Source organism: Homo sapiens, chromosome 6 (assembly GCF_000001405.40).
Source record: "Homo sapiens chromosome 6, GRCh38.p14 Primary Assembly".
In the NCBI taxonomy this organism is placed as follows: domain Eukaryota; kingdom Metazoa; phylum Chordata; class Mammalia; order Primates; family Hominidae; genus Homo; species Homo sapiens.
Window position 1 is genome coordinate 169,174,177 of NC_000006.12, and position 15,116 is coordinate 169,189,292.

The following is a 15,116-nucleotide window of genomic DNA, read 5'->3' on the forward strand; positions in this document are numbered from 1 at the left end:
AGCCTGGGGCCTGGCACCTGGCAAGTGCCCTCTGGGTGTTGGTGGAGTTCTTACTTGGATGACTTTAATCATTACAGAGGCTCCCTAAGGCCACACAGCTGGTAGGGGCTCTGGCCCCGTCTCATCTCACTCCAGAGCCCCAGGTGAGTGCAAGGCAGAACCTCTATGTTTCTGTCTCAGATTCTTCTCATTGCTTTGTTTTTCTCAAAACATTTCATTTTATCAATGATGAATACTAAAATTAGATTATTTTCTTTTTGTTGAAACTATATGTATTGATTTTTTGTCTTTGGAGTTGTCATAAAACACCTGTGGTCAAATCCAGGCCCTTCCAGTTACCAGCAATGTGACCCTCTGCACGCTAATCACCTCCCTGATGACTCAGTTTCCCCATCTGTAAAGGAGAAGCAATGGAAGTACTGGGCAGTTTAAATAACATAAATGTTGCAGAACACTTGGTACATGGCCAGACATGCAGTAGGTATTCCATAAAGGAAGCTATTTGTATTTTTTGTTTCAAATTCTATTCCATGGTGAACGTTTGTTTACTGTCTCAGATGTGATGTGAGATTCCATTTTGAATAGCTTTCAGGAATGTGACACGAAATTATCTTCCTTCTTCCATCAGCTAAAAACTACTGTATAAATGTTTCAAGCTCTGCTCCCCCTACTCTTACCAATGATAAACATGCCCCTAGGTTTCCCCTACAGCCACCCCAGCTCCTCGCTCTACATCTCCCTCTCCCCACCGCCACCTTCCGCCCCTGCCCTGCGGCTCCCACCGCCCCTGCCCTGCTGCTCCCACCGCCCCTGCTCTGCTCTGCTGCTCCTTCCGCCCCTGCCCTGCGGCTCCTACGGCCCCTGCCCTGCTGCTCCTTCCGCCCCCGCCCCGCTGCTCCTTCCGCCCCCGCCCCGAGGCTCCTTCCGCCCCTATCGCTCTGCTCCTTCCGCCCCTGCCCGGCGGCTCCTTCCGCCCCTGCCGCTCTGCTCCTTCCACCCCTGCTCTGCTGCTCTGGGCTTTCCCCGAGGCTTTGCTGCCCACACTCTTCTTGCTCGTCAGACCCACCAAGGTTGCAGAGAAAGGCAGACAGCAGCAGATGGCTAGGAAACGAATACTCAACAATAGGGTGATTTCAGAACTAAATTCCAAAGAATTCAGCCTACAGAGCAAAAACTCACTCAAAAAACCAAAAAGATGGAGATCTGTCTACATCAACGCCTGTTCTGAAGTTATTGAATTTCAAAAAAAAAAAAAAAAGGAACATTTTAGGTACCAAGCCAGGTGCTTTAAAGGAAGACAGACACGAGGCTGGCCCTGGATTCGTGAACAGTAGCTCTCACGCTCTCGAAATCGTGTCCAAAATTTTGTGCCCACCGTGATTTTCTGCAAGCACAAAGACAGCAGCGGTCAGGCGGTTTCAGTGTTGGACGGCCCCAAGGAGTTGTCCTTTAAAATCCTTCTTGCTGGTGTGATCCAGCCACGAATGAGAACAACCTGAATGAAGAGGTCAGAAACAGGAAGTGCGTCAAAATAGATTGAACTACAGAAAAACATCTGAAGCCATTTAAATATGGAACTAACATAAAAAATGTTGATCATAGGAAATGTATTGGACACGTGTACACAACCTGAGCTTAGGGAAGAGAGGGGATAAAAGAGCGTCCACAGATGCTGATTTTCCCATTCGGAACCAGGGGCCCTAAGTGTGACCTAAACCTGAACCATGGGTTTTAAAAAGTTCCATCTTCCTCACGTTTTTGTTAATATTTTGACGAACTTTAGAGCTGTATTTTGGGAGCTCTCATTTCTTTTGTAATTGCAAAGGACAGTTCTCCTTTATTTATAGTCCAGGTCCCTGTTTTATTGGTCAAATTCATTTAAAATTCTGTACTTCGTTATATTTTAGCATTTATGGTATAATCACATTTTTAAATGTGTTTTTCCTTCTTTTATTCTTTCCCATTCATGGAGAGGTTTGTGATAATGCTTACTGAACATTGGCATTAGTGATTTCTGGGTGGTAAAATTGGGATAATTTAATTTTGCTTTCTTTATGGTTTTGAGTTTTATCCCTAATTACAAAGTTATTAGTTTAAAATTTAAATATGAAAATTTTAAATTTTCAAAATGAAGTCATCAGGATGTGGGGCCTGGTGGAGGCTGGGGTGACTGACATCCCCCAGTTGACAGTGGTGGGTGGGAATAAGGTGTGGGAAGATGGGCTTATTCCAAGGGGAGGGGGGTTTGGCGTTGGCTTGAGATGGATCTGCCTGTGGGCATCCTGTGCCGACAGCCACTCGCCATGCAGAGTGGAGGCTGAAGAAAGCAGCTCGCTGCAAAGAGGCCAGCGGGGTACAAAGAAGTACTAACTGCAGGGCACCGAGCCCTGCGCAGGAAAGAGCGGGTTGTCTGGGAGGCAGGAGGAACTCTGTCCCCGAAGTCACAGGAGGTGCCCAGGCCTTGAGAGGAAGCAGCAGGAATCTCTGTGGGGCGTCCCTGAGCTCCAGTGAAGCCTCAGCCCCGTGTGGGCAGAAGTTGGGGGAACATCTGGAAAGCATGACCAAGGGGACGCCTGCAGGAGCTGCCAGAAGCAGTATGGCAGGGACAGGGTCAGAGGGAGGAGGCTGCAGGGTCCAGGAGAGGTTTCAGAAGCAGAAGAGGCTGGAGCTTGCCTATGCTCTGCGAGAGGGCAAATCCCAGGAGAAAGGAACACACAGGAAAAGGGGGGTTACTGGAGGTGTCCCGTTGGAGGGAGGAGGCTTTGGGGTCACTGCACTGAAGCAGGACAGGCCGGGCCTCTGAGGGCCAGGAGGAGGGTGCTGGTGGGTGGGGGTCTGCAGAGGGGTGCAGCGGGCTCTCAGAACCCACTTTGGCTGCTCCACCATTCAACACAGGGACTGCCGAGAGTGGCGGGCGGTGTTTCAACAAGAACTGAGTTGGGTGCTGAAGGCTTAGAAGAGCCCCTCAATCAAATTGGAGAAGAAGGGAATTGAGATGAAACAGCTTTGAAGTCACACAGGAAATGTGCGGTACCTGTCAGGCAAATGAGTTAATAAATACACAAATGGGTTAATGCAAATGGGAGATAGAAGTAGGACTTCTTTTTAGTGGCTACTACAATACGGATTTTTAATTTCACCTTTCTGCGTCTAGTAATTTTTGCATATTTTAGTAACTGTGGCATTCTATTACATACAACAGATGGTTACAGGCATTGTCTTCATAGAGAGCAAAATAAAACTCTAAGACCAATACAACAATATATGTTTAACAAAGAGGAAAGAGCCTAAAGTCTAAATGCGAGACTTTGGGGCCCCTGTGGGCCAGTGGGAAAGAACAGGCCTCTTGTTTGTAGGTGTCCATGTGCTTCAGACACCATGTCTTGGTTTCTTGGTCAGCCCATTTTCTACCAAGCTTGAGACCTCCGTTCTGGGCCTGAGGCTGAAGGACTGTTCGTTTATTTCATTTATTTATTGGCTCTTTCTCTTCCTTGCCACGCAGGAGGATGAGTAAAAACAGAGTGAGATACTTCGGAGCAACCTCGTGAGTTAAGAGCTTGTGAGCTTTCTCAGAGACGCTGGCTCCATCTTAATTTAATTAATGCAGAAATGAAGACTCGAACATTTGAGAATCTTTAAAAATCATATTTTAGCCAAAAGATTTATCTCACAGAAGATAATTTCCAACACAGCCAAAAGCAGCAAATATTTGCTAGTTCTATAATGTTTTGTGTGAATTTGATACTTGGCATATTTTCTGGTGTGTATTCGTCTCCAGGACATCTGTGCATGGCAGTTAGTCACGGAATTTAAGTTCAGTGTGGCATGCATCCTAGCGGTGGGAAGCCAGAAAGTAAAATGTGCAACCACCCCAAGAGAAATGCTTATAGCCAGGGAGCAAAGCATGAGTTTTCATCATGTTCTAGGCAATTTTAGGTGAATTTATCTTTAGATGGAGATTTCCTTTTTCTGATGTCTGTTCTTTCTTCAAAATTCACAGATTGCTCTTGATAAAGAGTGTTGAGTTGCCCTACACAGAGATGGAAAGGGGCTTTATAAATATGATGGTAATACACGATAAATTAAATTCATCTCTAAAGGCAGAAGTAAAATGCCTTGTCTTGTATCATAAATATCATTGATACTGACAAAATACAATGTCTCTAACAGTATATATCACACTCTCATTCATTCATTTATTCAACAAACATTTATTAATCACCTACTGTATATTAGACTTCTTGATAGATATGGAAAAATTATCCTTTTAAAGCAAACCAAGACAAAACAACTAGACTCATGTAATTTGGAAATTGGTTATTTGGGTAGATTTTTGGTTTCTAAACAAGAATTAAGTCCTTCTTTACATTGTTGGTAAAGATTTAGTCAGGATCTCAAAATAGTAATTTTTTTGTAACTGATAGAAAATATAGACATTGGGTTTCCACCTCACACATAGGAAGAAATTATAGGAAGTCTTTGTTTTTGGAGGAAGCCATCACTGCTTCCTAACACCCAGCAGTAATAAGACCTGGGTCACACCCTGAAGCTGTCGCGTCCACAGAGCTGAGTGCTCCCAAGCATGAGACACAGGCCAGCAAAAGCCATGTGGTCAACTCTAAATACCCAATGACACAGGTTCCTTTTGTTTTGGTTTTGGTTTTTCGTTCTTCTTTGGGGCCTCTCGTCCCAGGTAGATATTCTATGTCCTTCTGGTATACATTTTAATCTGACTTCCACTGAAGCAGGGACAGGACAAGTCAGCCCTTCAACTTGAAGCACCTCCTGCTGAGAGGTCCTGGAGCACAGTGGGTGCCGAGGGCTGGTTTCCTGGGCAGAGAAGTTGAGGCTTAGCTATGTCCGTTGCTGGCACTCGGTGGGGGAGCCCTGGGAAGGTTGTGGGTAAAAGTGGATTTTCCTCTCCCCGGTGCCAGTGCCAGGCCCAAACGTGGGCAACAACAAATAAACACACACTGCACAGGTTCTAATGCTTCAGTCCCCTGAAACGCCTGGGGTGTGCATTTGTCAACTGGATAAAAACAGCACATGCTCTGTTAGGGCTGTGTTAGTCCGTTTTCATGCTGCTGATAAAGACATACCTGGGACTAAGAAGAAAAAGATGTTTAATTGGACTTAACAGTTCCACATGGCTGGGGAAGTCTCATAATCATGGCACGAGGTGAAAGGCACTTCTTACATGGTAGCAGCAAGAGAAAAACTAGGAAGGAGCAAAAGTAGAAACCCCTGATAAAACCATCAGATCTGAGACTTATTAACTATAACAAGAACAGTATGGGGGAAACTGCCCCCATGATTCAAATTATCTCCCACCAGGTCCCTCCCACAACATGTGGAAATTATGGGAGTTCAATTCAAGATGAGATTTGGGTGTGGACACAGAGCCAAACAATACCATTCTTTCCCTGGCCCCTCCAAATCTCATGTCCCCACATTTCAAAACCAATCATGCCTTCCCAACAGTCAGTCACCCAAAGTCTTAACTCATTTCAGCATTAACCCAAAATCCACCATGCAAAGTCTCACGTGAGACAAGGCAAGTCCCTTCCACTTAAGAGCCTGTAAAATCCAAAGCAAGCTAGTTCCTTCCTAGATACAATTGGGGTAAATGTATTGGGTAAACACAGCAGTTCCAAAGGGGAGAAATTGGCCAAAACAAAGGGGTTCAGGGCCCATGCAAGTCTGAAATCCAGTGGGACAGTCAAATTTTAAAGTTCCAAAATGATCTCCTTTGACTCCAGGTCTCACATACAGGTCATGCTGATGCAAGAGGGAGGTTCCCATGGTCTTGGGCAGCTCTGCCCCTGTGGCTTTGCAGGATACAGCCTCCTTCCAGCTGCTTTCATGGTCTGGCATTGAGTGACTGTGGCTTTTCCAGGCTCACGGTGCAAGCTGCCAGTGGATCTACCATTCTGGGGTTGGAAGATGGTGGCCCTCTTCTCACTGCTCCACCAGGAAGTGCCCCAGTGGGGACTCTATGTGGGGGCTCTGACCCCACATTTCCCTTCTGCACTGCCCTGGCAGAGGTTCTCCATGAGGGCCCCGCCCCTACAGCAACGTTTTGCATGGGCATCCAGGCATTTCCATATGTCTTCTGAAATCCAGGTGGAGGTTCCCAAACCTCAGTTCTTGACTTCTGTGCACCTGCAGGCTCAACACCACGTGGAAGCTGCCAAGGCTTGGAGCTTCTATCCTCTGAAGCCACAGCACGAGCTGTCCATTGGCCCTTTCAGCCATGGCTGGAGCGGCTGGGACACAGGGCATCAAGTCCCTAGGCTGCACACAGCTCAGTGCCCACAAAACCATTTTTTCCTCTTAGACCTCTGGGTCTGTGATGGAAGTGGCTGCCGCAAAGGTCTCTGACATGCCCTGGAGACGTTTTCCCTATTGTCTTGGAGATTAACATTCGACTTCTGGTTATTTATACAAGTATCACAGCTGGCTTGAATTTCTCCTCAGAAAATGGGATTTTCTTTTCTATCACATTGTCAGGCTGCAAATTTTCTGAACTTTTATGCTCTGTTTCCCTTTTAAAACTGAATGCATTTACTACAGTAACCAAAACAGCATGGTACTGGTACCAAAACAGATATATAGACCAATGGAGCAGAATAGAGCCCTTGGAAATAATACCACACATCTACAACCATCTGATCTTTGACAAACTTGACAAAAGCAAAAAGTGGGGAAAGGATTCCCTATTTAATAAATGGTGCTGGGAAAACTGGCTAGCCATATGTAGAAACCTGAAACTGGATCCCTTCCTTACACCTTACACAAAAATTAATTCAAGATGGATTAAAGACTTACATGTTAGACCTAAAACCATAAAAACCCTAGAAGAAAACCTAGGCAATACCATTCAGGACACAGTCATGGGCAAGGACTTCATGACTAAAACACCAAAAGAAATCACAACAAAAGCCAAAATTGACAAATGGGATCTAATTAAACTAAAGAGCTTCTGCACAGCAAAAGAAACTACTATCAGAGTGAATAGGCAACCTACAGAATGGAAGAAAACTTTTGCAATCTACCTATCTCACAAAGGACTAATGTCCAGAATCTACAAAGAACTTAAACAAATTTACAAGAAAAAAATCAAACAACCCCATCAAAAAGTGGGCAAAGGATATGAACAGACACTTCTCAAAAGAAGACATTTATGCAGCCAACAGACACATGAAAAAATGCTCACCATCACTGGCCATCAGAGAAATGCAAATCAAAACCACAGTGAGATGCCATCTCACAGCAGCTAGAATGGCGATCATTAAAAAGTCAGGAAACAACAGGTGCTGGAGAGGATGTGGAGAAATAGGAACGCTTTTACACTGTTGGTGGGACTGTAAACTAGTTCAACCATTGTGGAAGACAGTGTGGCAATTGCTCAAGGATCTAGAACTAGAAATACCATTTGACCCAGTCATCCCATTACTGGGTATATACCCAAAGGATTATAAATCATGCTGCTCTAAAGACACATGCATATGTATGTTTACTGCAGCACTATTCACAACAGTAAAGACTTGGAACCAACCCAAATGTCCATCAGTGATAGACTGGATTAAGAAAATGTGGCACATATACACCATGGAATACTATGCAGCCATAAAAAGGATGAGTTCATGTCCTTTGTAGGGACATGGATGAAGCTAGAAACCATCATTCTGAGCAAACTGTCACAAGGACAGAAAACCAAACACCACATGTTCTCACTCATAGGTGGGAATTGAACAATGAGAACACTTGGACACAGGGTGGGGAATATCACACACTGGGGCCTGTCGTGGAGTGGGGGGAGGGAGGAGGGATAGCATTAAGAGAAATACCTAATGTAAATGACGAGTTAATGGGTGCAGCACACCAACATGGCACATGTATACATATGTAACAAACCTGCATGTTGTGCACATGTACCCTAGAACTTAAACTATAATAAAAAAATTAAAAATAAAATAAAATAAAATGATAGATTAAAAAAAAACCTGAATGCCTTTAAAAGCACCCAAGTCACCTCTTGAATGCTTTGCTGCTTAGAAATTTCTTCTCCTAGATACCCTACATCAGCTCTCTCAAGTTCAAAGTTCCAGAAATCTCTCAGGCAGGAGCAAAATGCCACCAGTCTCTTTGCTAAAACATAACAAAGGTCACCTTTGCTCCAGTTCCCAACAAGTTCCTCATCTCCATCTGAGACCACCTCAGCCTGGATTTCACTGTCCATATCATTATCAGTATTTTTGTCAAAGCCATTCAACAAGTCTCCAGGAAGTTCCAAATTGTCCCGCATTTTTCTGTCTTCGTCTGAGCCCTCCCAACTGTTCCAACTTCTGCCTGTTACCCAGTTCCAAAGTCACTTACACATTTTCGAGTATCTTTTCAGCAACGCCCCACTCTGCTGGTTCCAATTTACTGTATTAGTCTGTTTTCATGTTGCTGATAAAAATATACCCTAGACTGGGAAGAAAAAGAGGTTTAATTGGACTTACAGTTCCACATGGCTGGGGAGGCCACAGAATCATGATGAGAGGTGAAAGGCACTTCTTATGTGGCGGCGGCAAGAGAAAATGAGGAAGATGCAAATGTAGAAACCCTTCATAAAACCATCAGCTCTTGTGAGACTTGTTCACTACCAGAAGAACGGTATGGGGGAAACCACCCCCATGATGGAATTATCTCCCACTGGGTCCCTCCCACAACACTTGGGAATTATGGGAATACAATTTAAGATGAGATTTGGATGGGGACACAGAGCCAAACCACATCAGGGCCAAAACTATTTTAAAAGCTATTGTTTGTTGTCAGTCTTACAAAGTGGCTTTGTAAAGTCTATGGAAACAGTGAAAAGGAATTTTGAATTTTATTGAAAAAAGGTTGGTAGTGATTTTTAACTTGTGCCTGCAAGATGGAAAGCCCTTCCTTCATAGCAGCAAATCAGGGGAGATAAAAGCAGCATCGCTGCTCTCCCGAGTTCCCTCTGCCTACACCGAGGTTTAGGTCCCTCTCCCAGATCTAAGGGCCTTGATGCTAACAGACCTGTCATCTAAAACAGGAATGGGCTCTGCAGCGTTTAGACAAATTCCAAAGAGCAACTCCTTGCAGAGGATCTTTGAATTCTGTCTCTAGTCAGTGGCCACAGATGGTGTTTCTCACTAGATTAACCTCCAGCTGACGAGTCCGTAGGTTGGTGTCTTGTGTTCCGTGGCTTCAGTGAGATGTGGGGTGGATCACGCTGAGGAAGAGCCCAGATGTGAAGGCAGCCTGCCTGCCATCCTGCACCGCCTCGCAAGTCCTGTGAGTCTGGGTGAATGCTGAGCCTCACCGGGCATCCCAGGTAGATGGGTGCACCCTCTTTAATCACCTACTGTATTTGATGATAATACCTGATGAAGTTAACAGAAACTACTGATGACATAAAATAATATGTGTGGAAGTGATGAAAATTATTTCTATGTGGCTAACAAATATTCCTGATATTGACGTTCCTGTCCGTGACACTCACCTATAAGAACTTCCCCCTCCCAGCAACCCGATCCAAACCACAGAGGGTAAAAACATGCCATTTGGGAAATGAGTGTTTTAAGGCGAGCTTATCTTTTCCACCTTTCCAGAGGAGATGTGCCGAGATGATCACGCTATTACAATGGTGTATGATGAGAAACAAGAGAGCCCTTGTCCAAGGCTTCTAGTTATGAGGACATCTGAAAAGGCACTGTTTATCTTATCTGTTATCCCATCAAAATAAAATTAATAAAGAATGCGTATAATATGGATGAATAAACATTAACTTTCTACAAGAGAATTTTACATAATTGGCTTGAAAGGCTCCATCCTGGGACATGCTATTGATGACATTTTCTTTCATCTAAACCCAGCTCTGAATTTCTCCTGATGGTACACTTTTTATTTACTGCTACAATGAGAAAAAGTTTTATCGTGCTACAATCAGCAAAATTTGGCATTCATGATCTTCTATATTGTCTTATTAACTCTTCCTATTAATTAATACCAGGCAAATTTACGTTCTGGAAGATCTTTCTTCATCGAAGGCCAGTTGTTAAACGTGGAGGCGGCCTTTCAGACGGCATTCTGTCTTTCTGTTTAGTCCACATCACATTTCTGGAGCACATGCCTCAGGCAATAAAGTTTTCTCTATGCTTCATAAATATCTCCATGTGTGTTAATTTATGCATTAATTTTATGTGTCTATCTTGTGTATTAATTTTATTTTCTCAGGAAAGTTTCCCGGGATTCACAGGAAACTGACAAGGAAAGGTTTCACAGAGAATCGGAGAAAAGCTGAAATATCCCATTGATCTCATTCGCCATCCTTATATTTTTCAAGCTATAAACTGTAACTTCTTCTTAACAAATGCTAAGAGGCAAATGCTCCCTGGAAACAGGGTGGGATCCTGTGTAACTGTGGCCCAGATTTCTCCTGTGGAGACCAGCCCTTAATATTGCTCTGAAGACATTACATAAGTGGTTTTCAAGCTTCCAGAATTAATAGTTCTGGGATATCATTCAACAGAAACAGCTTCTAACCAAGGATCAGGATACCCAGCTCATGCCAGCAGCAGGGGCTCTGTCAACACCAACCCTCCAACTCCTTCAGGGACATTTGAGACCGAAAAACCAACCCTAGCAGTCCATCCAGGCAGTCGCCTGACCAGTTAGGAGATTTTATCTTTCCTTGCTCCCTTTCCCAAATATAAGGGTTAAAATTCTACCAGGAACAGTCGACAATTCCTTTGTGAGGACCAAGCCCAGTCTACTTTTCTTCTACGGCACCCCATTTCCACAAATTCTCCTCTCTGTTGCCAAAACTAGCAACCTCATGATGCCTTAGGGTGTCCCACAGCCGGCAGGCCCAGCTGGACGTGTCAATCACTGTGGCACCCACTGCGTCCCCACAGAGGTCAGAGACCCTCAGCCCCCCACCCCCCGGTATCACCCTTTATTCCCAAGCCTCTTACCAATGGGGCTGTACCGGACTGGCTGTCCATGCTGAACGGTGGGGAGGGGCTTCTGTACTCGCAGGGACCCTCCCCACTCGTGGGGTCAGTGCTGTTAATAGTGCCAGAGAGAGGCCATGGGGAGCACGTGGGGTGAATGGGGAGGTGGCCAACTGAGGCTGCCACAGCCACCGCTATGTCCACCCCTGTGGTCCGAGAGGGCCGGTCACTCCAGCGTGGCTTCTGCTCTCTCCAGAGTGGTGTCAGAGACTGTTTCAATGCGCTGGAAACCTGAAATGAAAGAGGTGCACAGGGCCGGACGCCGTGGCTCATGCCTGTAATCCCGGCACTTTGGGAGGCCGAGGCGGTCACGAGGTCAGGAGATCGAGACCATCCTGGCTAACATGGTGAAACCCCGTCTCTACTAAAAATACAAAAAATTAGCCGGGCGTGGTGGCAGAAGCCTGTAGTCCCAGCTACTAGGGAGGCTGAGGCAGGAGAATGGCGTGAACCCGGGAGGCGGAGTTTGCAGTGAGCCCAGATCGCACCACAGCACTCCAGCCTGAGCGACAGAACGAGACTCCATCTCAAAAAAAAAAAAGAAAAAAGAAAAAAGAAAGAGGTGCACAGGGCTGGCCACAGGGGCAGGCTGGAGACACGGCCCTTGCCACCGGGATCAGAAGGTCCCTCACTGTGTGCCGTGGTGATGCCCGGCCAAGCGAGGTGGCAGGGAGGCGGCCCCAGCACGCTGAATCCATTCCAAGGAGGCTGCTTCTGACCTGTGTCACCTGCTGTGACGTCAGAGCTGGGCCCCTACAGGCCACAGCCTGCTTTGCCAGAAAAATTCACTCAAAATTAGGCTTTTTGGACTAAAACTTGTTTTGTTTCTTACTATGATTACTAAGAAAGCCCAGGATACTCACATAGAACCGAAGCTCAGCCATTTCTCCTCTGAGTACACGTTGACATCACTGAAGCCAGGCACTGACCAAGCCTGAGTTCATGCAACACCATCAGCACACAGCCTGGTCTTGGCCTCCTCATGAGTTCTTTGCGAGGCCACGCATCCAGGTACCTGTGTTCCTGCACGGAGGCCTCTAGGTTCGCAGGAGACCCAAAGCAACGGGCCGTAGGCTCACTCAGGAGCAGCTCCTAGCTCCCCACTCCGCCACGGCCCTGCGGGAAACAGCGGAGGTAGAGATGTGGTGGTAAAGCAGAAGTGTGAGAAGCTACAGTCATTTTCCTTAGGGTTGGTAAATTTCGTGCCGGCCACCATGGCCATAGGCTTAACCCAAATTAATAAAGCCCAGTGTAAAGCGTGCTTAAGTTTATACACAAATAAAGTTAAACCCCAACTAAGCCATGAAAAGCTACCGCTAAAATAAAAACAAACTGTGAAAGTGACTTTAGTGTGTTCTGAGCATGACAGCTAAGACCCAGGCTGCGGTCAGCCACCCCCTACGCCTTGCCATGAGCTCAATAAAATGAGCAGTCACCGGCCCGAGTGCCGCCAGCAGCAGCCGGGACTGAGGGCAGCGCTTCGCTTCCTCGGAGGAGCCCACTGTGCCATCAACAAACCCTGAAGCCCCCACCGGCTGCTGCTGACCCGGCCACACGCCACCATCTTCAGCAAACCCTACGATGGCCGCAGAGTGAGCACCAGCATTTACACAAAAACATCAGGTCCAGGGGTAGCTCTGAGGTGGAAAGAAATGGACCACAGAACATTCCACCCACAACAACCTTTACGAAATTAAAGGCCAAAGGAGGATGTGGCAGAAGTTAAGAACAGACAGCGTAACTGAACAGGGCCATGACCACACACACGCCACCCACCAGCCGCCTCAACCACCTCCACGGACAGAAGCTCAGGTGTGGTGGGGGTGAGCCTGACGAGGTGGGCATCCTGGAGAGCAGGTCCGGGGAAGCCCCGTGCAGCCTCTGCACGGCACCTGCTCACACCCGGGAGACTTCACATTGACTCCACCACTCTGAACACAAACTAGTCCCAAATCAACAAAACTTAGCAATTATATGTATTTAGACCAAAACATGTATTCACAACAAAAGGTATAAGAGATAGAAATTTATTTAGGTGCTACGGGACACGTACTGTAAGAGAAAGATGACAGAATAATTTAAAGTACAAAAAAAAGCAAAGCTAATCCCTTATACCATTTGCATAATAAATTTGCTAGAATGATTTTATGAAGAGAAATTTAGCTAAAACCTCTGAAAGCAGACAAGTTACTTATGGACGGTTGCAAGAACAAACTCTCCAATGTGGCAAAACGTGAGCAGAACCAAGAGCAGAGAAAAGCCATCCCGACCTGGTGATCCTGCTTATCCAGAAGAGAATCTCAGCTCAACTTTAAATTACCCCAAGAAGTATACATCTTAATGTAAGTTTAAATGTTGATCTAAAGAGGGACAGCTCCTTAGAAACAGGAAGCAACCTTTTATCCAGAGTAATTTATTAAATTTCTGGAGTTGTTTAAAAGTAGCCACCAAATAAGAGCGTGTTCAAGTTAAACACTCAGCAGACCTTAGTTTCAGCTCTCTCTCGCCTCTCTACATTTTACTGGATTAATCTATTTATAAGTAGAAGAAATACTGTTAACACAGTAACGAAGAGCAAATTCTCCTTGTATAAGCTTGTGTTAGATCACACATCCACTGATAGGCAACAACTGGATAAAACTAAACTAATTGAACGATTGTTTATTCAAATAATTGTGAACCCAACACAGCCATGCACTTAAAAAAGATTTAAAAAGTCAAAAGAGTCGAGCAAATGTAAACCCTGCAAATGACCGCAAAGCTGCGGGCAGGCTGTCACCCTGTCCCCCCGCTCCCCGTCCCCCCTGTCACTGTCCCCCATCCCCCTGTCCCCCATCCCTGTCCCCAGTAGAAGGCCACCAGCCATGGACAGCACGTGGCTGGTGCCTCCCACAGCTGCCCGACCTCCACACAGAGGAGAGCTCTGGAGAGGGAAGAGCCTCCACCATCCAGAGCAGACAGCATGGGGCGAGGGGGCGTCTCTGGACACTCACGGAGATGAACGAGGCCTGCTGGTGAGGCTGCCTCCAGCAACAGTGAGTGAGGAGGTGCTGCCGGGGTGTTGGGGACCGCTGTAGGTGCTCTCTGAGTCACATGAGGTTTTGAAGGGTTTTGAGGAGGTGAGAAGACACTCAGAGCTTTGTTTTCAGAAGATCCCTCCAGCTGCTGGTAGAGAATGGAGGGAAGTAGGCCTGGGAGCGGGAAGCCCACTGCCTCTGCCCCAAGCTGCAGAGTGGCCATGGGGTTGGAGGGAAGGAAACTGAGCCCCAGTGTCCCAGGAGGCCTTGGAGACTGGCTGGATTGGAGGGGAGGGAGGGAGAATGCCAGAGGAAGACTGACAGCTCAGTCTGGAGACAGGTGAGCAGTGGGTTTGCAGCTGTTCCCTGCAGTGCTACCCACAAGGGTCCCCAGCGACAGCAAAGCATGACACCAAGGAAGCTCACATTTTGAGAATTTTACTTATAAATATCAAAACCACATGGACTCTGGTGACGTCATAATTCACGGTAAACCTCAGCTTTTAAACCAGAGGCTCAGACAATGGTGTGAGTCGCTGACTCACTCGGCAGCTGCAAAGTAAGGGGCGAGCTTGTTTTCCTTGAGCACCTGCTTAGGAGTCCTTTCACAGAGGTTTTTTTTTTTTTGGAGATGGAGTCTCATTGTGTCACCCAGGCTGGAGTGCAGTGGTGCCATCTCAGCTCACTGCAACCTCCACCTCCCAGGTTCAAATAATTCTCCTGTCTCAGCCTCCTAAGTAGCTGGGATAACAGGCATGCACCACCACACCTGGCTGATTTTTGTATTTTTAGTAGAGACCGGGTTTCACTATATTGGTCAGGCTGGTCTTGAACTCCTAACCTCAGGTGACCCACCTGCCTCAGCCTCCCAAAGTGCTGGGATTATAGACATGAGCTACCACGCCCAGCCAGGAGTCCTTTCACAGAAGTTCTGTTTCACAGTAGCACATGGTATACATTGTGGGGCTAGAACGAAGAAAGTGCAACGTTTCCCATATTTTTTGTCTGTTGGAAATGTTACACTAGACACACATCAATTAAGGTGACAGAAAAACTTGTGCAGCCT

The 15,116-nt window shown here is 46.3% G+C and overlaps 1 long non-coding RNA gene across 1 annotated transcript, besides 4 other annotated features; it reads right to left on the reverse strand.

The window, feature by feature from the left end:
• Nucleotides 1-1,127: 1,127 nt before the first annotated feature.
• LINC02544 (long intergenic non-protein coding RNA 2544) lies at nucleotides 1,128-8,564 on the reverse strand. Its single transcript, NR_125863.1, has 3 exons — nucleotides 8,508-8,564; nucleotides 5,100-5,218; nucleotides 1,128-1,495 (listed from the first exon to the last, which is right to left on the reverse strand). It is a non-coding gene; the product is annotated as a long intergenic non-protein coding RNA 2544 (long non-coding RNA).
• Nucleotides 2,057-2,557: an enhancer, noted in NCBI's record as "H3K4me1 hESC enhancer chr6:169576328-169576828 (GRCh37/hg19 assembly coordinates)". NCBI's record gives its function as "activates a minimal SCP1, AML or CMV promoter by ChIP-STARR-seq in naive H9 embryonic stem cells {active_cell/tissue: H9 hESC(naive)}" and the evidence as "EXISTENCE:reporter gene assay evidence [ECO:0000049][PMID:30033119]".
• Nucleotides 11,126-11,625: an enhancer, noted in NCBI's record as "H3K4me1 hESC enhancer chr6:169585397-169585896 (GRCh37/hg19 assembly coordinates)". NCBI's record gives its function as "activates a minimal SCP1, AML or CMV promoter by ChIP-STARR-seq in naive H9 embryonic stem cells {active_cell/tissue: H9 hESC(naive)}" and the evidence as "EXISTENCE:reporter gene assay evidence [ECO:0000049][PMID:30033119]".
• Nucleotides 13,662-14,163: an enhancer, noted in NCBI's record as "H3K4me1 hESC enhancer chr6:169587933-169588434 (GRCh37/hg19 assembly coordinates)". NCBI's record gives its function as "activates a minimal SCP1, AML or CMV promoter by ChIP-STARR-seq in primed H9 embryonic stem cells {active_cell/tissue: H9 hESC(primed)}" and the evidence as "EXISTENCE:reporter gene assay evidence [ECO:0000049][PMID:30033119]".
• Nucleotides 14,164-14,663: an enhancer, noted in NCBI's record as "H3K4me1 hESC enhancer chr6:169588435-169588934 (GRCh37/hg19 assembly coordinates)". NCBI's record gives its function as "activates a minimal SCP1, AML or CMV promoter by ChIP-STARR-seq in primed H9 embryonic stem cells {active_cell/tissue: H9 hESC(primed)}" and the evidence as "EXISTENCE:reporter gene assay evidence [ECO:0000049][PMID:30033119]".